At 61.3% G+C, this 26,638-nt stretch overlaps 1 protein-coding gene across 4 annotated transcripts, besides 15 other annotated features; it reads right to left on the reverse strand.

Annotated features, from left to right (window-relative positions):
• Window positions 1-2,973: 2,973 nt before the first annotated feature.
• ZBTB7A (zinc finger and BTB domain containing 7A) lies at window positions 2,974-26,570 on the reverse strand. 4 transcript variants are annotated; one of them, NM_015898.4, is made up of 3 exons: window positions 26,353-26,570; window positions 13,642-14,918; window positions 2,974-7,915 (listed from the first exon to the last, which is right to left on the reverse strand). In NM_015898.4, the coding sequence occupies exons 2-3, from the start codon at window positions 14,901-14,903 to the stop codon at window positions 7,423-7,425; spliced, it is 1,755 nt and encodes a 584-aa protein (NP_056982.1). In that variant the 5' UTR covers window positions 14,904-14,918; window positions 26,353-26,570; the 3' UTR covers window positions 2,974-7,422. The 4 variants fall into 4 exon arrangements, with proteins under 4 accessions (NP_056982.1, NP_001304919.1, XP_005259628.1 ...); NM_001317990.2 differs by lacking the exon at window positions 26,353-26,570 and adding an exon at window positions 25,101-25,200; XM_005259571.5 differs by lacking the exon at window positions 26,353-26,570 and adding an exon at window positions 23,919-24,952.
• Window positions 3,355-4,087: an enhancer, noted in NCBI's record as "H3K4me1 hESC enhancer chr19:4043682-4044414 (GRCh37/hg19 assembly coordinates)". NCBI's record gives its function as "activates a minimal SCP1, AML or CMV promoter by ChIP-STARR-seq in primed H9 embryonic stem cells {active_cell/tissue: H9 hESC(primed)}" and the evidence as "EXISTENCE:reporter gene assay evidence [ECO:0000049][PMID:30033119]".
• Window positions 17,931-17,990: an enhancer, noted in NCBI's record as "active region_13750". NCBI's record gives its function as "activates an Ori minimal core promoter by ATAC-STARR-seq in GM12878 lymphoblastoid cells {active_cell/tissue: GM12878}" and the evidence as "EXISTENCE:reporter gene assay evidence [ECO:0000049][PMID:35858748]".
• Window positions 19,389-19,518: a silencer, noted in NCBI's record as "silent region_9868". NCBI's record gives its function as "represses an Ori minimal core promoter by ATAC-STARR-seq in GM12878 lymphoblastoid cells {active_cell/tissue: GM12878}" and the evidence as "EXISTENCE:reporter gene assay evidence [ECO:0000049][PMID:35858748]".
• Window positions 19,539-19,928: a silencer, noted in NCBI's record as "silent region_9869". NCBI's record gives its function as "represses an Ori minimal core promoter by ATAC-STARR-seq in GM12878 lymphoblastoid cells {active_cell/tissue: GM12878}" and the evidence as "EXISTENCE:reporter gene assay evidence [ECO:0000049][PMID:35858748]".
• Window positions 20,079-20,188: an enhancer, noted in NCBI's record as "active region_13751". NCBI's record gives its function as "activates an Ori minimal core promoter by ATAC-STARR-seq in GM12878 lymphoblastoid cells {active_cell/tissue: GM12878}" and the evidence as "EXISTENCE:reporter gene assay evidence [ECO:0000049][PMID:35858748]".
• Window positions 20,949-21,188: a silencer, noted in NCBI's record as "silent region_9870". NCBI's record gives its function as "represses an Ori minimal core promoter by ATAC-STARR-seq in GM12878 lymphoblastoid cells {active_cell/tissue: GM12878}" and the evidence as "EXISTENCE:reporter gene assay evidence [ECO:0000049][PMID:35858748]".
• Window positions 21,219-21,268: a silencer, noted in NCBI's record as "silent region_9871". NCBI's record gives its function as "represses an Ori minimal core promoter by ATAC-STARR-seq in GM12878 lymphoblastoid cells {active_cell/tissue: GM12878}" and the evidence as "EXISTENCE:reporter gene assay evidence [ECO:0000049][PMID:35858748]".
• Window positions 22,219-22,726: an enhancer, noted in NCBI's record as "H3K27ac-H3K4me1 hESC enhancer chr19:4062546-4063053 (GRCh37/hg19 assembly coordinates)". NCBI's record gives its function as "activates a minimal SCP1, AML or CMV promoter by ChIP-STARR-seq in primed H9 embryonic stem cells {active_cell/tissue: H9 hESC(primed)}" and the evidence as "EXISTENCE:reporter gene assay evidence [ECO:0000049][PMID:30033119]".
• Window positions 23,221-23,400: an enhancer, noted in NCBI's record as "active region_13752". NCBI's record gives its function as "activates an Ori minimal core promoter by ATAC-STARR-seq in GM12878 lymphoblastoid cells {active_cell/tissue: GM12878}" and the evidence as "EXISTENCE:reporter gene assay evidence [ECO:0000049][PMID:35858748]".
• Window positions 24,061-24,150: a silencer, noted in NCBI's record as "silent region_9872". NCBI's record gives its function as "represses an Ori minimal core promoter by ATAC-STARR-seq in GM12878 lymphoblastoid cells {active_cell/tissue: GM12878}" and the evidence as "EXISTENCE:reporter gene assay evidence [ECO:0000049][PMID:35858748]".
• Window positions 24,381-24,520: a silencer, noted in NCBI's record as "silent region_9873". NCBI's record gives its function as "represses an Ori minimal core promoter by ATAC-STARR-seq in GM12878 lymphoblastoid cells {active_cell/tissue: GM12878}" and the evidence as "EXISTENCE:reporter gene assay evidence [ECO:0000049][PMID:35858748]".
• Window positions 24,711-24,900: a silencer, noted in NCBI's record as "silent region_9874". NCBI's record gives its function as "represses an Ori minimal core promoter by ATAC-STARR-seq in GM12878 lymphoblastoid cells {active_cell/tissue: GM12878}" and the evidence as "EXISTENCE:reporter gene assay evidence [ECO:0000049][PMID:35858748]".
• Window positions 25,101-25,870: a silencer, noted in NCBI's record as "silent region_9875". NCBI's record gives its function as "represses an Ori minimal core promoter by ATAC-STARR-seq in GM12878 lymphoblastoid cells {active_cell/tissue: GM12878}" and the evidence as "EXISTENCE:reporter gene assay evidence [ECO:0000049][PMID:35858748]".
• Window positions 26,351-26,550: a silencer, noted in NCBI's record as "silent region_9876". NCBI's record gives its function as "represses an Ori minimal core promoter by ATAC-STARR-seq in GM12878 lymphoblastoid cells {active_cell/tissue: GM12878}" and the evidence as "EXISTENCE:reporter gene assay evidence [ECO:0000049][PMID:35858748]".
• Window positions 26,561-26,610: a silencer, noted in NCBI's record as "silent region_9877". NCBI's record gives its function as "represses an Ori minimal core promoter by ATAC-STARR-seq in GM12878 lymphoblastoid cells {active_cell/tissue: GM12878}" and the evidence as "EXISTENCE:reporter gene assay evidence [ECO:0000049][PMID:35858748]".

Raw genomic sequence — 26,638 nt, forward strand, 5'->3', positions numbered from 1 at the left:
GAAACAGTTGAGGCTAAATGTGGAGTTAGCGTGGGACCTGCAATGCCAGCCCTAGACGTGTCCCCAAGGTAAGTGAACACGTCCGTCCACACAAATGTGCTCACGGACGTGCACAGCAGCCAAATGTGGCAATGACCCATGTCCAGCCGGGGAGTGAATCAGTGCAGTGTGGCCATCCACACTGCAGAATGACAGCCATGGAAAGGAGCGAGGCTCTAACACAGGCCCCCAGCCCAGACGAACTCTGAGGATGCCATGCTTAGTGAGAGACATCAGACACCAAAGGCCACGAGGCGTGTGATCCCATTTCTGTGAAATGTCCAGAACAGGCCAATCCACAGAGACAGGAAGGGGATTCACGGGTGCTGGAGAGTGGAGAAGGGGATTGAGAGTGATCACAAATGGATATGGGGCATCCTTTGGGCTGGATAGAATGTTCTGGAATTAGTGGTGACAGGTGCATAATTTTTTTAAGGGAATTTTTTGTTTGTTTGTTTGAGACAGTCTCGCTCTGTCGCCCAGGCTGGAGTGCAGTGGCGTGATCTCAGCTCACTGCAAGCTCTGCCTCCCGGGTTCACGCCATTCTCCTGCCTCAGCCTCCCAAGTAGCTGGGACTACAGGCGCCCGCCACCACGCCCGGCTAATTTTTTGTGTTTTTAGGAGAGACGGGGGTTTCACCGTGTTAGCCAGGATGGTCTCAATCTCCTGACCTCCTGATCTGCCCACCTCGGCCTCCCAAAGTGTTGGGATTACAGGCATGAGCCACCGTGCCCAGCCTTTTTTTTTTTTTTTTTCTTTTGACATGGAGTCTTGCCCTGTTGCCCAGGCTGGAGTGCAGTGGCACCATCTCGGCTTACTGCAACCTTCACCTCCCCCCAGGTTTAAGTGATTCTCCTGCTACAGCTTCCTGAGTAGCTGGGACTATAGGCGTGCACCACCACGCCCAGCTAATTTTTGTATTTTTACTAGTCACCATGTTGGCCAGGATGGTCTCAATCTCTTGACCTCGTGATCCACCTGCCTTGGCCTCCCAAAATGCTGGGAGCATTACAGGCATGAGCTGCCGCACCTGGCTTTGAAGAGCAATTATATGGTGTGTGAATTACATTTATTTTCATTTCTGAGAAAGGGTCTCACTCTGTCACCCAGGCTGGAGTGCAGTGGTGCAATCATAGCTCACGGCAGCCTCGACCTCCTGGGCTCAAGCAATACTTCCACCTCAGCCTCCAGAGTAGCTGGGACCACAGGTGTGCACCATCACACTCGGCTAATTTTTGTATTTCTTGCATAGACGTGGCTTCACCTTGTTTTTCTGGCTGGTCTTGAACTCCTGGGCTTAAGTGATCCTCCCTTCTTGGCCTCCCAAAGTGCTGGGATTTCAGGCATGAGCCACCGCGCCTGGCCTTGAAGGGAAATTGTATGGTATGTGAATTATATTTTTGTATTTTTATTTTTGAGACAGGGTCTCACTCTATCGCCCAGGCTGGAGTGCAGTGGTGTAATCATAGCTCACTGCAGCCTCGACCTCCTGGGCTCAAGCAATCCTTCTGCCTCAGCCTCCAGAGTAGCTGAGACCACAGGCGTGCACCACCACACCTGGCTAATTTTTGTATTTTTTGCAGAGACGTGGTTTCACCTTGTTTTTCTGGCTGGTCTCGAACTCCTGGGCTCAAGCAATCCTCCCTCCTCAGCCTCCCAATGTGCTGGGATTACAGGCATGAGCCACCACTCCCGGCCCTCTCTGAAGCACAGAGGTTAGGAAGCACCTAACCCTGGCTTGTGGTCCTGAGGCTGCGGCTCCTTCAGCTTCCCCATGTGGGACCTCTGAGCAGAGGCCTCAGTGTGCCCTGAGGGTCCACGGTGCAGGGGGCTCAGGACACGGCTGTAGAACCGCTGACCCCCAACCCTGCTCCAGCGCGTGTCGGGGACTTGGGCACGAATCCTGGCTGCAGCAGGTTCATGGGTGGCCTCGCACAGGTATGGTGCTTTAGCATGGGGTCCACACAAGGACCCGGAGGCCCTCAGACTTCGTGGTGTGGCCTCTGTGGTGTTTCCTGGCAAGGGCTGGGCCAGGCTTTGTTGACTTCCTGTGGCTACTAGGAAGAGCCCAATCCACAGAGGAGGAGCTGGGGTTCTGAGTGGACCCAGTGCCCGGCTCAGTGCAGCCATTGCTGCCTCACTGTGCCATCTGCTTCCATGAGTGCCTCATCCATCCCTTGGGGCTGGCCCCATCCCCACCTTTGCTGGCCTGGACAGATTCCTTGGACATGGGCCGAGTCTGGTTGGAGGACAGGAGGAAGGAGGAGGCCCTCCCTCAGAGACCCTACCCAGAGGTAGGGGCTGCAGCTAGCTGAGGCTTCCGGCTCCAGATCCTGGCTCATGTCCCTGGGGCCTGGCATGGGGCAGCACCCTGGGGTCCTCTAGCAGAGTCAGGTGGCCCCCAGGTGAGGCTACCCCGCCTGGGGCCTCGGGAAAGCCTGGAGCCAGTGGTGCCCAGGGCCCAGCCCTGGATTCTGCTGACAACTCGCCCGGCCGGTTCTCCCTGCTGCCCCTCTGGCCTTATCCTGTGCCAGCTGCCTGCCCGCGCCAGGGGCTATGGGTCACCTTCCCCGCAAGAGGGGCCTCTGGACCTGGGTACTCCTCGGACACTCACCCCCACCCCGGTGCTCTGGGTCACCATCCACACCCAGCCTCTCTGCCACGCGACAGACGGACCCCAGAGAGATGGGCCTGGCTTCCAAGGCCGGGCAGGAAGAGCAGGAAGGGTCGGGGACCTGGGGCTTCTCTCCTTGGGACCCAGGATCCGGTCACCCTGGGCCCAAAGGTGTGGTGTGGACGAGGTGCTCAACCCACCCAGTCTCTTCAGGGCCAAAAGGGGAAAAGGGGGACCCCCCCCAAGCCCCCCATCCCCGCTCCCCAGCCTCCCCCGAACAAAACACAGAGAACATCAAATGAGGCGACTGAGGCGGCAGCGGTCGTAACAGGCTGCGTTTAGTGGTTCTTTTTTTTTTTTTATGTACAAGAAAAATGAATTTTTTTGTTTTTTCATCTTTTGTGTTTTTGTTTGTTTTTTATTACTTTTAAAGCTTCTCCCTCCCCACTCCCAAAAAGTGCATTTTTATCAGTTTTTTTTTTTTTTAAATCTCCCACACTTTATAAAGACTCTCAATACAGTCTCTGGAATGTCTATCTGTCTGTGCTCTGTACCCTGAGGGCGCCGCCCCGCCCCCCATTCACCAGGCCTGGCCCCTCCAAAGTCCAAGGCACCTCGATTCTGGGCCTGGGGTGGGGTGGGGGGCGGGACCTGGGCATCGGATCCTGGTCCACAGCCTCCAGGCAGCCCCGGCGAGGGATGGGGGTCTCCCTGGCCCCCTCCACCCCCTGGGCCCGGCCCCCCCCCCCCCCCCCCGTAAATCTATGTATTTAATGCGAGCTAGTCTTAACTCTGAGGTTGTAGCTCCTGGGGCACCCCCAGCCTCCAGGCCCCTGACCCGTCCTGCGCCAGCCACCCACCACCCCCCCCCCCCCACCTCCAGGAAGGCTGCTTCAACTTAAATAACTTTTTAAAATAAAACTGCAAATATAAATATCTTTCTTTCTCAAAAAATAGGATTTTTGCTTTTTTTGTTGGTTTTTAATATTTTTTTTTCTTCTGTTTTTCCTTTCATTCTCTCTGTCTTGCCTCCAACCATTCTGGTTGCCGGGCGGGAGGGGGCACCCCGAGGCCCCTGCCTCAGTGTCACCACCTGTGAGGTGACCGCTCCTGCCACGGCCCCGGGGTCTGAATCGTGCAAAGACCCCTGTCCCCCACCTTCCCTGCAGCCGCCCACTTCCAGGGGAAGACCCTGGAAGAGGCTGGGGGACCCCCCTCGGAAGGAAGCAAAAAGACAGTGACAGGACTGCATGGCCACAATGGTGGGGGGGCAGACTTTGGTATCGCCCGCTCGAGCCTGCCTGGCTGCAGGTCCACACCCATGCCAGGCCGGGCCTGCTCCGGCATTTTACATTCACTGGTTTATAATTTTTTTTTTTCATTTTTAAAAACTTTTTTGACTTTTTTTTTTTTTCCTTAATCTCAAAAGGCGGGGGGCGTCGGGGGGCAGAGGCAGGTAGCAGCAACAGCTAGTAGCAAAGATGCTTCTCTCTCTCTCCTGGGCCCGGCAGGCTGGGGGGCACTGCAGACGGGGGCTCCGGCCCGGCCACCTCCCCGGCCCCCGGGCGCCCCCGCCTGAAGCCCCCCAACCCCAGCCTGGACCTCACTCCCGCTCTCTTGCACACACGCACACACGCGTCCACGCAACTTCACCATGAGAATGGAAATAACAATTTCGCATTGTTTTTCTTTTTTTTTTTTCTCTTTTTTTTTTTGTACCAGGCAGTTAAAAAAAAAACACCCCAAAAAAAGAAAACACAAAAAACCCCAAACAACCAAACAAAAAAGCTTTGAGCTGTGTCCTTTCATATGGAGTCAACACGACCCTCCTCAAATATCATTTTTTTTTGTTTGTTTGTTTCCTGAAACGCGAGAATTCAGCAGGTATCTTTGGCAACACTTTATCACGACCTTAATTTAAAGAATAAAAATAAAATCGATTCACGTCTATATACAGTATGTGATTGCGCGGAGTCTGGGGAGGGCGGGGCTGGGCTGGGGGGGTCCCGGCTCTGGGCCCATGCAGAGGCTGTGGCCCCCAGGACGGGCGGGTAGTTAAGGCAAAGTGGGCGGGCAGGACAGGCGAAGCTGAGTGCGGAGCTAGGAACGAGGGTTTAGTGCAATCCCCGAGGTCTGTGTAAGTGTCGCGGTGGGCCGCAGCCCTTGTTCCTACGGAAGTCCCAGAGGGCTCCACCCCCCAAGTCCGGTCGCCCCCACTGGCTAGGACGACAGCTGTGATTTTAGAGTTGGTTTTATTGCGAGGGGGTGCATGGATAGGGGAAGGTGGAAAGAGGGCTCACCCCTCAGGGGGCCTCTCTGGGAGCTGGGGAGGGGTGTCCCTGGCCTGGGTGTTCAAGCTCCCCGCTCAGCCACGACAGATGGTTTTCTCTCCAGAACAGCTCGCCCTGTGACACTGGGGTGTGAACGCAGCCGGGGTGCTGTCACCCAGCCCCAGGGGAGAGGGGGGATCCTGAGACATTTGGAGGGGGCTGACAGGCTTAAGGGGGGGTGGGAAGGGAAGGGAACCAAAACCATCCTGTAGAAACAATATGAAAATTGCCTTCTTAAAAAGCTTCCCTTTAACAATGAAAGAAAAAGAGACGAGAAGATGTGTGTGTCACAGAGAAGGGGGTATGGGGGGGTCGGGGGCAGGGAGACACCCCCCCGCCGGTTGGGCATTGACAAGAAGTCTCAGTGCAGCAGAGCGTCTATTTTCGGGGTCCCATGCTAGCATTGCATATGCAAACGGGGTGAGGGCGTCCTGGCATCTGGCGACATAGTCTCCCCAACCCCGGCCCCTGTCCGTGGCCTGTGGCTCGGTCAACACCGGGCCTTGTGGGAGCCAGAGGTTGGGGGGAGGCAGGTCCCAGTCCCCCTGGATTACAGTCAGTGCCTTTGAGTAAAAAGAGGGGTGCCTGGGGTGGGGAGAGGGGCGGTGGTTCTAAGGCCCTGGAGGTGGGGGGCCCCTGTCACCCACCTCAGCAGGGTAGGCGCATCCAAGGTCCAGCTCCTTGGTGGCCATGCGGGAGGGACAGGCGTGTTGGGGGATTGGGGGGTGCCGGATGGGGATCGGGGTGCTCCGGCTGGAAGGCCCATCCCTGAGCTAGGGAGGAGGAAGGAGAGACCCCGTGGACAGAAGCGGGCGCTAAGACCTCTTCACGTCAGAACCAAAAAAGGGGACAGAAAGGGGGAGCGGGGGGAACACAGCACGAACACCCCACAGTCCTGCCTTCGAGGCTGACGTCTGGGGGTGAAGCACAAACACCTCGGGGCGTCTCCCAGGTCCCCTGCGATGGCTTCCTCCTGAACCCCCCTTCTCGCTTTTTGGGGAACAGAAGTGGATTCTACGTTTGTGGTGGGTTTTTTTTTTTATTATTTTGTACAAAAATAAATCGACTTTTAGGAATTTCTTCTGCTCTCGCTCTCTCTCTCGCTCTCTCTCTCGCTCGCTTTTTTTTTTTTTTTTTGTCTTTTCAACTTTTCATAGAAGTTGGTTGTAACTTGTAAACATGTTTTTAAATTAAGAATTAAGATAAAGTGTAGTACCCGTTCCGTTACAAAGTGCCAAGACTTCTAATGTGGTTGGTTGCCTTTTTTTTTTTCCTTCCTTTCATTTTGTAAAACCTTTTTTTTTTCTAGTTTGTTTTATTGCTTTTGTGACATTGGAATTTGTGGATTTTCTCTCTCTCCCCCCATCCCTGCCATCACCAGACCCTGGGGTTCCTCTGATCGTGACTCTGTTTATCCCACACTGTTGCCTGCTCCTCTGAGGAAAAGTATATTATTTATATATATATATATATCTATATATAAATTTTGTTTTTAAGGAGGAAAGAGAAAAAAAAATCTAAAAAGTGCTTTAAAAATTTGGGAGAGGGGGCTCGGGGGAGAGGACGAAGACAGAAGTTTTGAATCTCCAAACGTGGGGGTCTAGGTGGACCGGGCGGGGGTGGGGGGGCGCCCTGAGGGGTGGTCCCTGGGGGTCCCGCCGGTTGTAAGTGCCGTGAAGGAAGGCGGCAGGAGCACCCCCAGGAGCCATCCTGGCGCCCCACCGGGAACCCCAGTCCGATCTCCTTTCTCCAGGCCTAGAAATAAATAGGTTTGTGTCTCAGTGGCCAGGAGACGTGGGGTGGGCGACGGGGGGAGGCCGCAGGCAGGGTTGGAGGCGGGGAGGCCACTGGGGAGATGGAGAGGGAGACCCCTCCCTTAGTAAGTGCCCTGAGGAAGGAGGGTGCGGGTCGGGGGACGGGGGCCCATTTTAACGTCCGCTCAGAGCAGACAGAAATCATTTAAGGTCTTGTCTGAAAGACTCATAGAAACCAGCGAGGGGAGGAAATTAAAAGCCCACCCCAGTCCCCCCCCAGCGCCCCCACGTCTACCCTCCCCCCAGCCCAGGGCCTCGGATCGGGCCCCAGGCCCCATGCCGGGTGCCCAGGGGGCTGTGCGGGGTCTCGGATTCCTTGTGTCCTACAAAAAACCCCAAACCAAGCCCCGAAACCCAGCGATGGGGTGGTGGGGGGAAGGGGAGCCAGGGAGGGCCGGGGCCCCTGCGGAGGGAGAAAAACGTCAGAAAGGAGGGAAATCTGAGAAAGCGCTACCCTAGATTCTGTGACGCGTCATATATATATATCTGTATATATATATATAGATATAGATATCTGTATATAGATAGATTTTCTTTTTTTGTGTTTTTGGGGGGGTGGTGGGTGATTTTTTTTCTCTCTCTCTGTCTCTCTCTTTCTCGGGTTTCTGTTTTCTCTTTTTGGTTTTTAGGCGAGTCCGGCTGTGAAGTTACCGTCGGTGGCGGCCCCGGGGCCACCTCCGCTGTCACCTCCTCCACCGGCGCCCGCTACATTCAACCGGCCCAAGCCGTCGGGGCTGGCCACGTCCTCGTCCTCGTCCTCGTCCTTAAAGTGCTTCTCCTGGCCGTTGCGCCGGGCGTCGGGGGAGCTGGGCTGGGCGGGGGCGCCGGGGGTCGCGGTGGCCCCCGGGCTGGGGTCGGGCGCCCCGCCCCGGACGCGGGGCTTGCGGCCGCGGCGCGAGGGGACGCCGTTGCAGCCGTCTTTCTTGAGGTGTCTGTGCAGGTGGTCGGAGCGGACGAAGGTCTTGCAGCAGCTGTCGCACTGGTAGGGGCGCAGGCCCGTGTGCACGCGCATGTGGTTCTTCAGGTCGTAGTTGTGGGCAAAGGCGGCGCCGCACTGCTGGCACAGGTACGGCTTCTCGCCCGTGTGCTTCCGCATGTGCACCTTCAGCTTGTCCTGCCTGTGGACGGGGCACGGGGCGGGCACGGTCAGTGGGGCCGGGGACCCCCGATCCCCGCCCAGGGACCCTCACGGACACGGCAGGCCCTGGATCATCACCCTTGCAGAACACGGACCGTGCACCAGAGGTTTCGGTGCCCCGATGGGGACGGTCCCTCGAAAAACGAGACGAGTGGGGGCGATTTCGCATTCTGAACATCTAAAGAGGGCCTCGGACCCTGAGTGCTGTGTGGCCTTGGGAAAACGCTATGCCTCTCTGAACCCCGTTTCCTTTCCTTTTTTAACTTTTTAAGAGACAAAGTCTAGGCCAGGCGCGGAGGCTCAGGCCTGAAATCCCAGCACTTTGGGAGGCCGAGGCGGGCGGATCACTTGAGGCCAGGAGTTCGAGACCAGCCTGATCGACACGGTGAAACCCTGTCTCTACTAAAAAAACAAAAAACAAAAAAACAAAAAACAAAAATCAGCCGGGCATGGTAGCAGGCGCCCGTAATGCCAGCTATTAGGAAGGCTGAGGCAGGAGGATCACTTGTATCTGGGAGGTGGAGGTTGCAGTGAAACTCCGTCTCAAAAAAAAAAATTTCACTTTTTAAGAGCGAAACTCCGTCTCAAAAAACAAATCTGCCAGGCGTGGTGGCGCAGGCCTATAATCCCAGCTACTTGGGAGGTGGAGGTTGCAGTGAGCCCAGATCACGCCACTGCCCTCCAACCTCGGTGACAGAATGAGACTGTCTCCAAAAAAAAAAAAAAAGAGAGGCAGGGTCTGGCTTTGTCCCCCAGGCTGGAGGGCAGTGGCGTGATCACGGTTCCCTGCAGCCTCGAACTCCTGGGCTCAAGCCATCGTCCTGCCTCATCCTCCAGAGTAGCACACGCACCACCACACCCTATTAAATAGCTATTAAACTATATGTGTGTGTGTGTGTGTGTGTATATATATATATATATATATATATATATATATATATATATGTAAGTTTGAGAGATGGGGGTTGAGCTACGTTACCCAGGCTAATCTCAAACTCCTGGGCTCAAGTGATCCTCTTGCCTCGGCCTCTCAAAGCTCTAGGATTACAGGTGTGAGCCACTGCGCCCGCCATGAACCCCTTTCCCTACCACAGAAGGAGACAGTGGGCTTCTGCCACTCCATCCTGCCCCTACCCCTGGGGTAGGATGAGGCCAGCCAGTGCCTGGTGCCTTCATTCATGCCACAGACCTTTGCCGAGCGCCCGCTGAGGGCCAGGCCCTGTTCCAGGTGCTGAAAATACCGCAAGGAACAAGACAGGCAAACATCCCTGCCCTCTCGAGGCTGGCGGCGGCCGAGGTGTTTGGTGACAGATAGGGTGACCAACTGTTCTGGTTTTAGCACTGAAAGTCCTGCATCCTGGGAAACCCCTCTGTCCGGGACAAAGTGGGGCAGTTGGTCACCCTAGTAACCAAGTCCCCACCCCACGACACCCAGGACTGCCCACTCTCCCCTCACTTCAGCGTCACTCCCCTATCTGGGCTCCACCCTGACGTGCAAAGGTGCAAAGCACAAGCTACGCTGGGGCCTTTGCATGTGCTGCTCCCGCAGTCCGGGGTACTTTCTTTTTTCCTCCTGGATCTTCACAGTCAAATTTGGGCTCAAATGTCACCTCCTTCCCCAGCCCTGTCTCCATCCTCCTGTCATCACCACCTGACTCTTCTATTGTTTTTTTTTCTGAGACCGAGTCTCGCTCTATCTTCCAGGCTTGAGCGCAGTGGTGTGGTCTCCGCTCACTGCAACTTCCGTCTCCCGGGTTCAAGCAATTCTTCTGCCTCAGCCTCCCAAGTAGCTGGGATTACAGGCCCTCTGCCACCACACCTGGCTCATTTTTGTATTTTTAGTAGAGACGGGGTTTCACCATGTTGGCCGGGCTGGTCTCGGACTCCTGACCTCAGGTGATCCACCCGCCTCGGCCTCCCCAAACGCTGGGATTACAGGCGTGCGCCACCACACCTGGCTGATTTTTGTATTTTTAATGGAGACAGGGTTTTCACCATGTTGGCTGGGCTGGTCTTGAACTCCTGACCTCAAGTGATCCGCCTGCCTCGGCCTCCCAAAGTGCTGGGATTACAGGCGTGAGCCACCGCGCCCGGCCGGTCTCTCTTGTTTCTGTTGATTTCCTTGTTTCTCCTCTGTCTCCCTGATTGGATTGTGAGCCCCGAGAAGGCAGGGGTTGGGTGTGACTTGAGGGCCCCTCCCTGCCTGTCTCGCCCCATGGGGGCAGCGTGGACCCAGCTTAGCCTGGAGCCTCTAGCCTACAAAGCCGGTCACCATATCAGTGGGGTGCCTGTGGCCTAGGTGGCTCCTGAACCCTTGGAATGTGGCCACTCTGAACTGATGTGCGCTGGAAGTGCAAAAGGTACCCCAGCTTTTGAAGACTTGATATGCAAAAGGTGATGTAAAATGGCTCAATGAGGATCGTGCACATTGACTACACATGGAAATGCATCTACTGGGTTAGGTAAAATGTTTCAAGTCACTTTCACCAACTCTCTTTGACTTTTTTTGAACGGGGCTGTCAGAAAATGTAAAAATATGTAAGTGGCTTGCTGGCCGGGCATGGTGGCTCACACCTGTAACCCCAGCGCTTTGGGAGGCTAAGGCGGGCAGATCACCTGAGGTCAGGAGTTCGAGACCAGCCTGGCCAACGTGGTGAAACCCCGTCTCTACTAAAAATACAAAAATTAGCCGGCATGGTGGTGGGCGCCTATAATCCCAGCTACTTGGGAAGCTGAGGCAGGAGAATCGCTTGAACCTGGGAGGTGGAGGTTGCAGTGAGCTGAGATCGTGCCACTGCACTCCAGCCTGGGCGACAGAGCAAGACTCGTCTCAAAAAAAAAAAAAAAAAAAAAAAAAAAAGTAGGTGTCTTGCCTATTCCCATTGAGTGATGCCAATCTATAGTAATAAAGTGTACTCCTTCCTGGGATCCGGAGGGCAGGAGGGAGCCCTGGGTCTCAAGAGCCCTGGCTAGAACCTGACCTACTCCTTGCTGCTGCCTGTTGTGCCCCACATCTGAGCCACCTCGGGTTTCTTCCTTCTCACACTCAATAGACTGAAGACTTCTTTAGTGTGGGGACTGGCAAACTCCTACTCATCCCTCAAAGCCCTACCTTGAATGCCCCTCTACCTTTCCTAATTCCCAAAGACCTGGCTCCCCTCTGGGTTCCTCCAGCCCTAAGTCCCTCCCTCTGGCACCAGCTACAGAGCTGGTGTCCCTAACTTTAACCCCTCCTTGGCTCTGTTGCCCTGAGGGTCAAGGCCTGGCCCTTGGCAACCAGACCCCTACCTTATCTCTAGCCTTGCTGCCCCACTGAAGCCAACAGAACGTGGTAACTTGCTAACAGAACCCTGGCCTAACCAGGTCTGTTACCAGCCTCCAGGCCTCTGGTTTACTGATCACCTTCTGCAAAGCCCACGGCAAGGTCTCCGGGCTGCCTTGCCCAGATCTGGCACAGGGCCGGGGTCACAGAGGGGATGGCAGCCACTAGGTTTTTCTAGAACCGTGCAGAGACTCCCCAGATGAGCCTGGGAGGCCCAGAGAGAGGAAGGGACTTGCCTGGAGCTGCACAGCAGGCCAGAGGGCCACGCAGAGGCGGGGTGGGGGCGGAGGTATCCCTAGTTTCATCACCCCGAGCCCCAGCCTGGGTAATTATAGCCCCGGCCACCACAGGCCCCACTTACTCAACGCCCTGCTGTGACTCAGAGGGGCCTCGGGCTCCCAGGCTTTTGGAGGGTGGAGGTGCTGGTGTCCTGGGGAGGGGGGACCAGAGCACGGGGTGGGGGAAAAGAGGAAGCAGGTGGGTCTAAATTGGGGTGGGAGGAAGAGGTCTCCACAATTGTCCCTCTCTAAGCCTCAGTTTCTCTGACTGAGGGGATCAGCCCCGGGTCGGGTGGGATAGCCAGCAGTGCCCGAGTCAGAATGAAACCGGGCCTGTGGCCTGCGGCCAGGGAGGCAGGGTGGGGGTCACCACCTTCGCTCAGCCTGGTCCCCTCTGCAGACCCCAGTTCTCTGCACCCCACCAAGCTGCTCTTCCTGAGCTCAGAGACGAACCCACAGTGACCCCTGCCTGGAGGAAGAGGAGCCCCCCAAGACCTCCAGTACCCCAACCTCACCAAGGAGGGACAAACCACCAGCTACACTGCCTGCCTCCCAAAGTGCCCTTTGCCCCCTGCCTGGCACTCCTGGGCGCCGGAGTCCAGGCCGCACCTTCCTCTCCTGGCCTGCTGGGGAGGGGGCCGGGGTGCTGGGGAGGGGTCAGTCCCAGTTCCTGTCCCCACGGGGTGGGGTTGGGAAGCTGGGACAATGGCCTCTTTCTTCAGCCTCGGTGGGCGTGGCTGGGGGAACCCCAGGGCGGGCGGGGGGCAGGGGGTGGTGCTGAGTCACCCAGCCTGGCCAGGTCCCTGCCTGCCAGCCCCCTGCCCCCACCGCTACAGCCCGCCCCGGATCTACGAGGCCCAGCCAGCCACCTCTGGACTCCTGAGACCGAATTGCAAACTGCCCGGGCCTGGCCTTGAACTCCTGCTGTTTAGGGACCAAGTCCTGTGGCTCCCAGGGGGGCACAGTGATCTCTCAAGCTGAGCTGGCCTCAGGGCCTCTGCACTGGCTGTTCCCTCTGCCTGGAACGCCCTTTCCCACAGCTGCTCCTCCCCTCCTTCAGGTTCCGGCAAGGCCTGTCCCCGGCGCCTAGAACAGGCCTGGCACCAGCAGACGCTTCATAAATGTTGGCTGATTGAAGCAAATGACCCAGGCTCACGGGAAACTCAGAAGCCGCTCCACGGCCTGGGCTGTCCCTCCCTAAGCCTGAGGGCCTGTCACCCTCTCCCAAAGCAGAAAAAGAAAAAAATCCAAAAGTGCAGAAGAGAAGAACCAGCCCTCCAGGAAGGAAGAACGACTGTGCCTTCCCGCCCACCTCCCGCAGCTCAACCCTGTCCGGCACGCTTTGCATATGATGTGGCTGTCATCTTATGTCTGGCCTGTGCTGTCACCCACCGGGATGTCCACCCACAAGGGCAGGGCCTGGTCTAGGCTGTTCTTAACAGCCACGTGGGTCAGGGAAGCGTTCGTTGGCTTTGGGCCCAAGAGGTGGGGTGTGTCTGTTTGCGTGTGTGTGCATATATGTGTGTCTGTGGGTGCATGTTTGCATGCATGTGCATGTATGTGTGCGCATGTACGTGTCTGTGTGCATGTGCCTGCATGCATGTCTGGGGGTGCGTGTGCATCTGTGTGCGTGCCTGGGTGTGCGTGTGTGCGTGCGTGCGTGCGTGCATGTGTATGTGATGTGTATGTGGTGTGCGTGTGTGTGCGCGCATGTCGGTGTGCGTGTGTGTGCGTGCATGTGTATGTGATGTGTATGTGGTGTGCATCTGTGTCTGCATGTGTCTGTGTAGCATGTCTGTATGTGTATGTGGTGTGCGTGTGCGTGTGTGCGTCTGTGTGTGTGCATGTGTACGTGGCATACGCGTCTGTGCATGTGTGTGCATGTGCGTATATATGTGCAAGTGCGTGTATGTGTGTCTGCGTGTGTGTGGATGTGTAGGTGACGTGCATGTGTCTGTGCGTGTACGTGTCTGTGTGCACGTGCGTGTATGTGTGCGTCTGCGTGCATGTGTGCGTGCGGTGCAGGGAGAGAGGCGGGAGGGGTCGTGAGCGGCGGATGCTGGGGCAGAGAGCAGGACGGCGCCTCCCCCGCGGCGGGCAGCTCACCTGGTGAAGCGGACCTTGCAGATGTTGCACTCGTAGGGCTTCTCGCCCGTGTGGGTGCGGATGTGTCGCGGCAGCTTGCCGGCGCCCTGGATGACCTTCTCGCAGATGGGGCACTTCTGGAAGGCCTTGGCTCGGATCTTCTTCTCCACCTTCTGCGACCAGGCCGGGTAGACGTCGCCGTCGTGGGCGCCGCTGAAGTACTTCAGGTAGTAGTCCATGACGCCCTTGTCGTCGGCCCGCGACTCCTCGTCGCTGTCCCCCGCCGCGGCCCCCGCCCGGCCCACCGATGACATCATCTGCTGCAGCAGCGTGCTGGCCGCCAGCCCGTCCACGTCGGGCCCGTCCCCGTCCTCGCCCTCGGCCGCTCCCGACAGGAAGCCCGGAGAGTCGCCCGGCTCGGGGGCCGCCTCCGACAGCGAGGCGGCCTCCTCCTCTCCGCCGCGGCCGTAGTGGCCGTTCTGCGTGGCGGCCGGCGGGGCCACCGGCGGCGGAAAGAGACCCCCGGTGGGGGCGTCCTCATCCCGCTCTGGCCACAGACCCGGGTTGCTGTCGCCCTCGTCCCCGTCCCCCGTCGGGGGCCGCTCGGCCGGGGGGCCCGGCCCATAGAAGTCTAAGCCGTTGCAGTCGCCCGCGGCCACGGCGGCCACAGCGGCGGCCACGGCCTCCTTGGTGGCATCCAGGTCATCATCGGACGCCCCAAAGGCGGACCACGGGAAGCTGGCAGCGGCGGCGGCGGCCGCGGGGGGCAGGCTGTTCATGGGGTTGCTCTGGAAGAACTCGAGGTACTCCTTGGCGCGGAGGAGGTTGCGCTGATCAATTTGATCTACAAGGTCCAGCTGCCCGGCGTCGGCGCCCGCGTCGGCCGCCAGGATCTGCCGGTCCAGGAGGTCGGCGCACACGTGGCTCACGGCGGGGATCTCCAGCAGGCGGGCGGCGCTGAGGATGTCACCCACGTTGGCTGTGCTGACGGTGAGCGTGGCCGTGTAGGCGAAGTCCATGAGCGCGGTGAGCGCCTCGGCGCTGACGAAGTCGATCTCGTACACGTTCTGCTGGTCCACCACGGCGCCCGACGTGAACAGCTTCTTGAAGTACTGGCTGCAGGCGGCCAGCACCGAGCGGTGCGTGGGGAACTCGCGGCCCTCCACCAGGATCACCACGTCGCACAGCAGGCCCTGCGTCCGCTGCTCGTTCAGCCCACTCAGGATGTCGCTGCTGTGGTCGGGGAACGGGATCCCGATGGGGCCGTCCACGCCGCCGGCCATCTTCCGCGCCGAGACCTGCAGCAGTGGGGAAGGAGAGGGCGCTCGTGAGTGGGGGTGCGGGGGTTCCTGTGCCCACTGACAAGGGCCCGAGGCCCTTGAGAAGCAGCGTTCCACCCTGCTCCCCCAGCCTCACATTCCCACCTGCACGTGAAGGCGGTCAGATGTCGCGCCTTTCCAGCCCCAGCTTCCCCAGCTGTGCACCAAAGCGATACATGCCCTGCCTCCAGCCTCTTTTCTTTTTTGTGTGTCTTTAATACAGAGACAGGCTATCACCATGTTGGCCAGGCTGGTCTCAAACCCCTGGCCTCGGCCTGGCGCGGTGGCTCACGCCTGTAATCCCAGCACTTTGGGAGGCCGAGACAGGCAGATCATGAGGTCAGGGGATGGAGACCATCCTGGCTAACACAGTGAAACCCCGTCTCTACTAAAAAATACAAAAAATTAGCCGGGCGTGTTGGCGGGGGCCTGTAGTTCCAGCTACTCGGGAGGCTGAGGCAGGAGAATGGCATGAACCCAGGAGGCAGAGCTTGCAGTGAGCTGAGATCACGCCACTGCACTCCAGCCTGGGCAACAGAGCAAGACTCCATCTCAAAAAAACAAAACAAATCAAAAAACCCTGGCCTCAAATGATCCAACCGCCCCTGCCTCCCAAGGTGCTAAGATTACAGGCATGAACCACGGCACCCGGCCAAGACTGTTTTCCATCTGTGCATGAGGATAGCCAGATGTCCCGGCTCCCCAGCCTCAGTTTCCCCAGCTGTTCCCAAGTGCAGTCAAATGTCCTATCCTCTAGCCTCAGTTTCCCCAGCTGTGCATGAGAATGGTCAGATGTCCTGCCTCCCCCAGCCTGTTTCCCCAGCTGTACACAAAAGCAATCAGACGTCATGTCCCCAGCCTCAGTTTCCCCAGCTGTACAGGAAGGCAATCAGGTGTCCCACTCCCAACCTGTTTCCCATCTGTACACAAGGGCGGCCAGCTGTCCTGCCCCCAGCCTCAATTTCCCCAGCTGTGCATGAGGACAGTCAGGTTTCCTGCCCCCCATCAGCCTCAGTTTCCCTAGCTGTGCCCAAGAGCAGTCAGATGCCCTGTTCTGTCTCATCAGCGTGAGATGAGGCTGGCAAAACCCACACTGGACGCTTAAATTTCACAAGCACACTGGCACCACCCCTCCGAGGAGGGCCCCCGGGAATGCCTGTTGAAAGGGCACTTTGAGGCCCGGCTCGGTGCTCACGCCTGTAATTCTAGCATTTTGGGGAGGCTGAGGTGGGCAGATCACTTGAGGTCAGGAGTTCAAGACCAGCGACCAGCCTGGCCAACATGGTGAAACCCTGTCTCTACTAAAAATACAAAAATTAGGCTGGGTGTGGTGGCTCACACCTGTAATCCCAGCACTTTGGGAGGCCGAGGCGGGCAGATCACCAGGTCAGGAGATCGAGACCATCCTGGCTGACACAGTGAAACTCTGTCTCTACTAAAAATACAAAAATAGATGGGCGTGATGGCACGTGCCTGTAATCCCAGCTACTCGGGAGGCTGAGGCGGGAGAATCGCTTGAACCTGGGGGGTGGAGGTTGCAGTGAGCCGAGATTGCACCACTGCACTCCTGCCTGGGCCACAGAGCGAGACTCCGTCTTAAAAAAAAAAATCAGCCAGGCGTGGTGGCGCGTGCCTGTAATCCCAGCTACTCAGGACGCTGAGGCAGAAGAATCGCTTGAACCCGGGAGGCGAAGGTTGTGGTGAACCTGGATGGAGCCACCGTACTCCAGCCTGGGCAACACAGCGAGACTCGGTCTGAAAAAAAAAAAAAAAGAAAAAGAAAAAGAAAAAAAAAAAGGGCTGGGCACTGTGGCTCACATCTATAATCCCAGCACTTTGGGAAGCCAAGGCAGGCGGATCACCTAAGGTCTGGAGTTCAAGACCAGCCTGACCAACATGGTGAAATCTCGTCTCTACTAAAAATACAAAATTAGCCAGGTGTGGTGGCGCGTGCCTGTAATCCCAGCTACTCGGGAGGCTGAGGCAGGAGAATCGCTTGAACCCGGGAGGCGGGGGTTGCGGTGAGATTGCGCCATTGTACTCCAGCCTGGGCAACAAGAGCGAAACTCCGTGTTGGAAAAATAAATAAATAAGGAAAGGGCACTCTGAGGCGCTACAGGAGGACGCAGTAGCTCGAGAGAAGTGCCCTGATCTGAGCCATTTTCCTGTTGATCTGAGCACGGGCTTCGGCCGATACAGAGGGGAGGCCACGCAGTGACCTTTACAAAACACCTACTATGGCCAGACGCGGTGGCTCACGCCGGTAATCCCAGCACTTTGAGAGGCCAAGGTGGGTGGATCATGAGGTCAAGAGATTGAGACCATCCTGGGCAACATGGTGAAACCCCATTTCTAACAAAAAATTAGCTGGGCCTGGTGGCGCGGGCCTATAGTCCCAGCTACTCGGGAGGCTGAGGCAGGAGAATCACTTGAACCAGGAGGTGGAGGCTGCAGTGAGCCACCTAGATCACGCCACAGCACTCCAGTCTGGTGACAGAGCGAGACTCGTCTCCAAAAAAAAAAAAAAAAACAATAACAACAACACATAACACCTACTTCCCGCCAGTTCCACCCGAACCCCACCGGCAGCACCCACTCCGTCGTGAGCTGAGGCCACTTGCCCGAGGCCCCACCATGAGGACACAGTTGCGTCCAAACTCAAACCCAGAGTGGACCTAAGAGCCGACCCCTTGGCCTCCCCAACCCTGACTCCTGCCTCCTGGTCAGGCCTGGTTCTTTTCAGGGGGGCTCTGAGTCAGCAGGAAGGGGTGTGGCAGCCCAGGCACGGGGACCCAGTGCCGAAACCCAGCTGAGGTCAAGGCCACCGTGGGTGTGCCCCGTCCGGACAGGGCCAGTGACTCCGCAGGCTAAACCCCTTCCTGCCCCTCAGAGCCCCCAGCATAGGGCTCAGCCCTGGCTGTGAGTAACAGAGACCGGGCTACAGCCCAGGAGGAGCAGGGAGCCGGGGGAACCCCTGTCCACCTCCTGCCTGCCCACAGGACTGCCTGGCAGCCCCTCCCCAACTCTCAGCCACCCCAGCTGAGCTGTTCAGCCCCAGCCAAGGCCTTGGCCCTCTCTGGGCCTCAGTCTCCCTATCTGTCAAATGGGCAGAGGTTTCGGGCAGCGCCGGGCCCTGGGGGGACTGTGTCTGTCCCACCCCTTTCTCCCCCTCCCTTTTTTCCGCCTTCCCCTCGGCTGTGACTCATCCACCCACTCGGAGCTTGTGCAACCCTCTGGCCCCTGTCCCCACCCCTCCGCCCTCTCCTGGGAGCCCCTGGCGGCCCCGAGTCACCCAGCACAGCTCACATTCCTCCAGGCCGGCCGGTGGCTCTCGGGCCAGAGCCCCTGGGCAAGGCCCCTGGGGAGAGGGCCTGAGCTGGGCCTTTCATGGCCTCCTCCGGGCCACCAGACCCTCCTGTCCCCCAGCCCAGCAGCTCAGGCAGGCTCTGACGCCGACGGGCTTGAGCCAGGCCCCACAAGGGAGGCATGGTGTCGGTCCAGCCGGACCCAAAGCCCAGGGCCCTCAGCGCGGGGCCTGAGCTGCCAGGCGACACAGAGGCCTTTGTGAGCTTGCTCAGTGCCACCACGCTCCCCAGGCCCCTCCACCCGCCTTCCTTCCCTCCTTCCAGCCTCGGCCCAGGGCCCAGCTGCTCAGCACCCCCGTCTACTCTAAGGCCTGTGGTGGGGCGGTGGGCTCAGATGTGGCTGCTGGGAGCAGGGAGGGTAGGAGGGGAGCGACCCCACCCAAGGCTCGGCCCTGGGAAGCCTCCGAGGAGTCCCCTTTGGTGGTGTCCACCCCCTGCCACCATCTGCCGTCTGGCCCTGGGCCGCGGGGAGCGTGTGAGCAGATGGAGCTCCGGATCAGACGGGCCCGGGCCCTCCTACCCACCCCAGCATGGGGGGAGACCTCTGACCCAGGCCACCAACGCCCCAAGATGGCTATCCCTGGCCTGCTGGGCCGTTCCTCCCCTCGGGTGACCAGGGTCCCCGCTCTGGAGTGGCTGGGAGGTGTCTTTCCTGGGGCCTGGAGGATGGGCCCAAAATAATCCAGGTGGCTCAGCGACCTCCTGCAGGTCCCCGCCAGTGTGAAGATCCCAGTTCCAGGTTGGGTCCGGGGGTCCCAGTCTCTGCCCTCTCCAGCCTGGGACCCTCTCTTGGGCCCCTGTTCCCCCCTAAATATCACTGAGGCCCTCCCTCAAAGCAGCGAGGCCCGGGGTGATGTCAGCCAAGGAAAGCCCCCGTGAGAGGACTGTGGCCGCGTTTTACAGATGAGAATGCCGGGGCCCAGAGAGGGCTGCAGTCCTGGCCTAAGGATGCCCGGCAGGGCTGACTCCCAGGGGCTGGGGGCCAGGAAATGATGGAGGGGCCGGTCCCCCCACCCACCCAGGGCAAGGCCCTGCCCTCGCCCTGGAAACTAAACTCGCTCTGAGACAACTGACCCACGCCCTCACTCCAGGAACACAAGCCACCTGCCGGCCACGCCCTGCGCCAATGCCCCCACCTAGGCCTCCTGGAGGCCTCCCCTAAGGAAAGGGCCGAAGACCCTGCCTCCGAGGTGGGAGAGGGGAGGCCGGGCCCAGCCAGAGCACCCCCGGCGGGGGCCACAAAGTCTTGGCAATAAAAAGTCCCCGAGTGCTGAAGCCCCACTGTGCGCCCGACACACGGTACACGCCTCCGGAGGTGGCGGTTTCGTTCCCCTCCTCCAGGAAGCCCCGGCCCCACGCCAGCCAGGTCCCCACCCCTGCCGGCCAGGGTCCCCTGGGCTCGGCCCACACCCACCCGGGGCCCCATCTTTCATCACAGCTCCTCCCCCGCGCTGGCCTCCGTGGGATTTCCGGGGCTGCTTGGTGCTGACTCGGCGGCCGAGGGGCAGGCCCTGGCAGGCCCCTCCTGGGCTGGAGGTGGGGCGCCCTCCTCCCCCCGGGCCACTCCCAGGCCCCTAAGCCCAACCCTCCCAGGGTGGCGCATAGTAGGGGCGCAGCAAACCGCCGGATAAACCAGAGACAGCCCACGCCCCGGCCCACCCAGCTGGCTGCCAGGCATACCCAGAAGCAGGGGGCTGTGCAGCCTGCCGGTCCCACCTCCCATCTAACCTAAGGGTCACTTGCTGTAGTGTTTGTCGAGAGCCACGGCACCCGGGCCGCATTTCGGCCCCCTCTGTGCTCCCAAACTAACTGGGCACCTTCACTTCGTCTTCCCCAGGTCCCTGAGAGGCTCAGAGAGGTGAGGCGGCCCAGTCGAGGTCACACAGCAGCCCTCTGATCTGGGCAGCTGCCACTTCCCAGCTGCGGGGGATGTGTCGTGAGCTCGGAAGCACCCTGACGTGGCTCAGGGAGCAGCAGATGTCGCCTAGGAAGGACCCCGGCATCCCAAGAAGGGCACCCCAGCACGGGGAGCATCAGGAACTGAGGCCTGGAGGTGGGCGACCGGGGAAGGGGGACCGGCAGAGAGGAGGCTGCATCGCTAGTGCAGGGTGTGGGAGCCAGGGGCCTCCCCAAGGTCACACGACAAGGTGAGGGCTGGGCAGGTAACTGCCACCCGCCACCTTCCCGAAGGTCACTTCCTGGAGCAGGGGGCCGTCTAATGAGGGGATCAGGGCCCCCACCCAACCCTCTGCCCAGGGAGAGCAGGGAAGGAGGCCAAAGGGACCTCTCACCCCTCATGTGCTGTGCAGAGCAGCTCGGGTTCAAGCCTCGGCTCCCCCACCTCCAAGCTGTGTGACCTTGGGCAAGATGCGAGACCTCTCTGAGCCTCTGTCTCCTGGGGGATGGGGGTCGTAACAGTGGAAAGGGGCCCCCCACTGTGGTCAGGGTCCCGCTCACATCCATTCAGCAAACTTAGCCCAGGGACCTAATGTGCGCCAGAGCCAGTCCCCAAAACACATTGCCAGGCTGTTCACCACCCCTCACGGATGGGAACTTTGCTCCTGAATGCTATTCCGGGAATTCAGTCCCCTCCTCACCTACCAAGGGAGTGAGTGGTGGGGCCTGAGGAGGAAGCTGGAAGGGGAGATCAGGCCCAGAGAGGGTGGGCGGCCGGCCCAAGGTCACACTGTAAGCCTGGTGTGCAGGTGCGGCTGCCAGGCCCGCACCCGGCAGCCCCCGCCCCCTCCCCGCCCAGCGGCCTGTGTTGCAAGGTTGGTCCCGACGGGTAACCCCGCCCTGACCTGGTGCCAAGCCCCGCCTGGCCCAGTCCTCGGCCTGGGTTTAATGGGACAGGAATGCAGTGTCCCGATCGGGGGGCACCAACGGCCTGGGGTGGCTGCCAGCTGCCAGCCCGCCCCCTGCCCGCCTGCCCTCGCCCGCAGGCCTCCCTCTGGGCCAGACATGGAGCAAACAGGCCCTCGGCCATTTTACGTGTCCATTTATTGCCCTAAATGGGGAGGGGCTTCCTGCCTGGGCCTTAAAGGGCCAGAGGCAGGAAGGCCGTGGGGACCCAGTGGGAAGTGTGACAGCGGGGATGGGGGCAGCGATGAGGAGGCCAGGGGGATCCCATCTGACGCCCAACTCATGGGCGGGACTGAGGCCCACCCTGTTCCCACACTCTGAGATGTCATGGGCCAGGAAGCCCAGACTACAGCCCGAGCCCAGGTTCCAAGAGGAAGCTTCATGACGACAGTGGAGGGGCTGAGCTTCCCGTCACTGGGGGCAAGCAAGGCCAGACTCTCGGAAGCCCATCCTTGTCCACCCTGCCATCAGCCCAGGCTGCACCTGCTTAGCTGAGATGCCTGTGAGAGGCCGAGGTGACCTCTCTCTCCCTCCCCTGAGGGAGGCCTGCTTGTCACCTGGAGATACCTGCCCCACCCCCACTCTCGCCTGAGCAGGTGGAAGGCTCAGCCTGGGAGCCTGGCGGCCTGCAGAATCCGGCCAGATCCTTCTCTCAGGCATCCTGATAGGTGGGATGGGCCTTGTTTTCCAGTCAAACCAGAAAGGCGTGGGTGGCGACACTTCCACCGAGTGGCCGTCCACAGCCTGCTGGGGGGACAGATGGAGGGGCTGGTCCTTTGGCCACGCTCCTCCCGAGCGCCGGATTCTCTGAGGGGCGCCTTCTGCGCTTTGGGGCTCTGGACTCGGCGCTCGGGGCCCAAGGGCCAGAGCCGCTCCTCGGAGCAGCTGGGGGAGGCTGGGCCTTGATAATCGCCCCAGAGACCCACGGTACGTGACGGCACCCACAGCGCTGGAAGGCAGGATCTGTGTCTGTGCCCCATTTTGCAAACGGGGAACGGGATCAGAGAGGGGGAGCAGCTTGGCCAGGGTCGCGCAGCAGAACTGGAATTTGAGCACGGGCCGTCTGTCTGGCTCTGGCCTGCCTAACTAGTCCTCCCACGGCTCCTTCCATCCCCTTTCCTGGCCCCCGGATACCAGCAGGAGATGAAATCCCCCTACCCTGGGGGCTGAGAGGAAGGACGGCTTATCCTCATACCCTCAGAGCTGCCTTGCAAGGGAGCTCTCACACAGGAGCCTGGGGCAGGGCTGGAGTCCAGCTGACATGGGTGGCTCAGGGAGGGGCCTCTGCCCCTCCAGCTCTCAAGACAGCTCCGCAGGGGCCTGACACAGTGCACAGTAGTCGCTCAACAAGCATTCCCAATGAGCCGCTGAGCGAACCCTCGAGACAACACTCTAGGGCTGATGACCATCTCCCCACTGTCTGGATGGGAAGACTGAGGCTGGCAGAGGGGGAGTGACTGCTGGGGTGGACCCAAGGGCTGGGCTAGGACTGGACCATGCTCACCCCCACCCAAGGCTCACCCCCACCCAAGCTCGTTCCTCTTGTCCTTGTTGCCCAGGGCTACTGCAGGGCAGTTTATGGTCTGGCAGGTGACAGGTGGGGGTGCAGGTGTCTCACGCAGTTCTGACCCACACCCCACACTCAGGTCTCTGCCATGCCCTGAGCTGACCTGGGAGTTTCCGCCGCGGAGGAGAAAAGACACCACGGGTGGCTTTGCAGGCAGCAGCTGGGGGACCCTCCACAGCCCCAGGAACACAGCGCGCCCCGGCTGCAGGGGTCACGGGGCTCATCCAAGGTCGCAGAGCAAGCGTGCCAGCATTCCAACCCTTGAGGAGCCCTCCTTGGAGCATCTGGGCTGCAGTGGGCTGGCTCTGGGGAGGTGACCTCGGTCTCCTCTGGTCATAAAACCCAGAGCCCTGCCCGCCTCTGAGGACCAAGGTGAGACGAGTTTGTGGCTCGGCAGGATTGCAGAGGGGCCTCGTATGCACGTGCGCCAGCCAGGGCCTGCCCGGTGAGGCAGGGAGGCGAGAGGGCTGTGGCTCGTGCTGTGTGACCTTGGGAGCCATGCTGGCCCTCTCTGAGCCTCAATGTCATCTTCGGACACAGGGTTTAATAAGCCTCGGTGACACTCCATTTGCAGGCAGGTGCCTGCAGTTGAGCCTCTACTGCCAACCTCCGGCCCTGCTTAAAGACAGGTGGGCAGGCGCCCCTGGGCCACCACACAGTGGGAGGGGACTTTGGACAGGCCCCGAGCTGGAAGGATGGAGCACAGGGGGCAGCTCTGACCCCACCTGAGTGACCTTGGGCCGCTCTCTGCTTCCCCCTACGCTTCAGTCTCCCCTGCCTAGTACCGGCACCTGCTCCGAGGCTTGCTCTAACCTCCGGAGTTTCCAGGCTCACATTTGACCTCCCCTCCCGGCCTTGGTTTCCTCCTCATATGGCAACGGGGATCTGCCACCAGGTGGACCCAGCTATAGGTCAGAGGGACTCAAGGAAAGAAAAGGAAAAAACAAACAAACAAACAAACACCCAGCAGGGATTTGTGATCGCCCCAGGAACCTTTCCGACCAGGCCCCAGGCTGGGCTCTGCCTCGGCCGCGCCTCAGTCTCCCGCACAGAGCAAAGGACCCATCCACTGCCTGCGGCCGCCCGCGGGCCTCTGCCGATGCGTGGCTGCCCGCCCGGGCCCAGGTGCTGACTGGCCGCCACGCAGCCAATCGGAACTGAATAATAAATACCCCCCGGACTGACCCACGAATTAAAATTTCAGTGTCCCGGTTGGCTCTTCTTTCCTTCCTTAGACTTCGCTTTTCCAGCGGCCGGCTCCTGCCCCCCCTTCTCCCCCAAGCTCTGTCTCCACAGCGATGGCTGGTGGTAAACAGAGGCCCCGGCCCCGCCGATAGGTGCTCTCGGGGCCCCATGGCGGGTGGCCCTCGCGGACAAACGCCCCCGGCCTGAAGCCCTCAGGCCCTGGCAGCAGCAGGGCTGGGCTTAGGCCTGGCCTGGCCTGGGCCCCTGCCCCAGCCTGGCCTCCCCGGGACCTCTCCCAGACCAGTTTGCCAATAGGAAGTGATCGGCCGGTGGTGGGGAGGCACCCCCAGTGTGGGAGCGGCACGCTCAGGGTTACGCCCTGGTCCAGTTCTGAGGTTGGGGCGGGGGGCACTGACACGGAATCCCCACGCCCTCTCCGGAGGCAGCTGGCAGGGAGGTGGGGGGGCCCACCGAGCCCGCCACCCATGGGTGAGCCAGGTGGGTGCCGCGGGTGGCAGGGGCACCAGCACCTCTGTGACTTCCGCCGCCTGACTGGGGGGAGAGGAGTTGCTGCCTCCCCCCGCCTCGCCGCCAACTCCTGGCTGCATTCCGCCAACATTTAGTGGGCGCCGACTGGGTGTCCGGGCCCGGGTGGACAGCAACCTCCCGCCGCGGCCCACCGTGCGCCCCCGCCAGCCAGCCCGGGCAGCGCCTCCCAGAACCCGCAGAGGCCCGGTCCCTGGGGGGGCACCCGCTCCTCCGCTCCGCTCAGCCCCCAGCCAGGCTCCCAGGCCGGGGGGGCTGGGTCTCCCGCCCGGGAGGTAGGGAGCGGGAGGGAGGGGGCTGGATCCCACCAGCTCCCCCCTCCCCTGCCCGGGCTCAGGCTTCGCACGTGGTGGTGGCGTCAAGGGAAAGGAGGGGGGGTCCGGGCCAGAGGAGACGGGGTCACGCGCTTTGGGGGCGCGGACGGCGGGGACTGGGGTGCTCTCTCCGCCCCCTCCCGCGGGTCGGAGCCGGACGGCCGTCCGGGCAGGGCGAGGGGCCAGGCCAGGCCCCCCACCCGGGGCTGAGTCAGGCCCGGGCGGGGGCAGGAAGCGGCCCCCTCCCCCGCCCCGGCCGCAGCGCGCGGCCCCCGCCCGGCCCGCGGTCCCCCGCCGCCTCGCCCGCGCGGGGGGCTCCTACCTCCTTCCCGGGGCAGCGGCGAGGGGGCCCGGCCCCGGCGGCGGCGGTGGCGGCGGCTGCGGCTGGGCTGGCTCCCTCCGAGGGGCCGGGAGGCGGCAGTGAGCCTGGCCCCGCGCCACCCCCCGCCGCCGGCGGCCAATCCCCACCCGGGCTGGGGGGAGGGCGATGCAAATTACCCCGGATCTGGGTCCGCCCGCCCGCCTCCCCCACGCCCGGGCCCGGCCTGCGCTAGGCCGCGCATCCCCGGGCTCGCCTGCACCGCGCGGCCGCCCGGGCCGCCGCCCTCCCCGGGGAGCGCGGGGAGGGTGACCCCCCCCCCACGGGCGGGGGGCCGAGGGGAGGGGGGCTGGGGACGGTTACACAACCAGGCGGGGAGGGGCCCCGGGGCGGGGAGGGGGCCGGCCCGCGGGCCGCGCAGCCGGAAGCCGGGACCGCCACCGGCCCCCGGCGAGGGGAGCCCGGCTCCAGGCCCCGCCCCCTGGCGGGCTGGCCCCGCCCCCGCGCCGCGCCGCGCGATCGGCCCGCGCCCATTGGCTCTCCGGCCCGCCGCTCACCGCCCCTCCTCCGCACCGCCCCTACCCGCAGGCCGCGGCGGGCTGTCGGCGCGGGGCACCCTGGGACTTGTAGTCCAAGCCGCTTGCCACCTGCCGGCTGCAAACGGCGGAGGGACTACGAAGCCCAGAGGTCCCTGCGGCCCTGCCCGCCCACCCGGACACCCCACCCCTTCCCCCTCCTTTCCGAAGCCCCCCTCCCTGTTTTTTCAGCCCCCTCCCCCCCATCCCCCATGGAGCTCAATCCTGGCCAACTCCAACGTATGCACGCAGCACCGAATAGGCCCCCGGGGGGCGAGAGCGCCCCTCGTCTTCAGCTGGAAACTTAGCAGGCGACGCGCCCCCCTATCTCCCCACGCCGGCTCCCCCCACCCTCAATGCAGCCCTGCTTCCCCTCCCCCGCTCCCCGCGCGCCTGGGAGCCCCGAAAAGCCATGCACCCGGGTTGGGGGGGGCTGGCGCACAAGCTCATGCACTTAGCCCCCAATCCCCCCTTCCCGGGCGGCGCCCCCTCCCCGCGCTCGGGATCCAGGGCGCCTCCAGCCTCCGGGCAGCTGCCAACCACCCCTTCCTCTGAAACTTGGGGGAACGTCCCCGGCTCCCCGGATCTCCCCTTCCCGAGGGGGCAGCGGTGGCCGCAGCGACCCCCGCCCGTCCCCGCCCTGCACCCCGTGCCGGGGGCCGCGCCGGGCGCTGACTTACCTCGCGGGGCCGGGCCGGGGCGCGCGGGGCCGGGGCCCGAAGTTGGGACTGGGCTCCCTCGGCCGCTCGCCTCCGGGGTCCGCGGCGCTCGCTCTGCCCGCGTCGCGCTGCCCTGGTCGCTCCCTCGCGCGGCGGCGGCGGCGTCACTGCCCCTACAGTAACTGTACAGTACAGCCAAAGCCCCGTATGATGCTCGCGACTCCCTTCCTGGTTTCTCCGAGGGCAAGAGGGGTCCTCCCTTGTCTTAAAGGTGCCGCAGCCGCCGGCCCCCCCACGCCCAGCCCGC

The sequence above is a fragment of the Homo sapiens genome, chromosome 19, assembly GCF_000001405.40.
Source record: "Homo sapiens chromosome 19, GRCh38.p14 Primary Assembly".
NCBI lineage: Eukaryota > Metazoa > Chordata > Mammalia > Primates > Hominidae > Homo > Homo sapiens.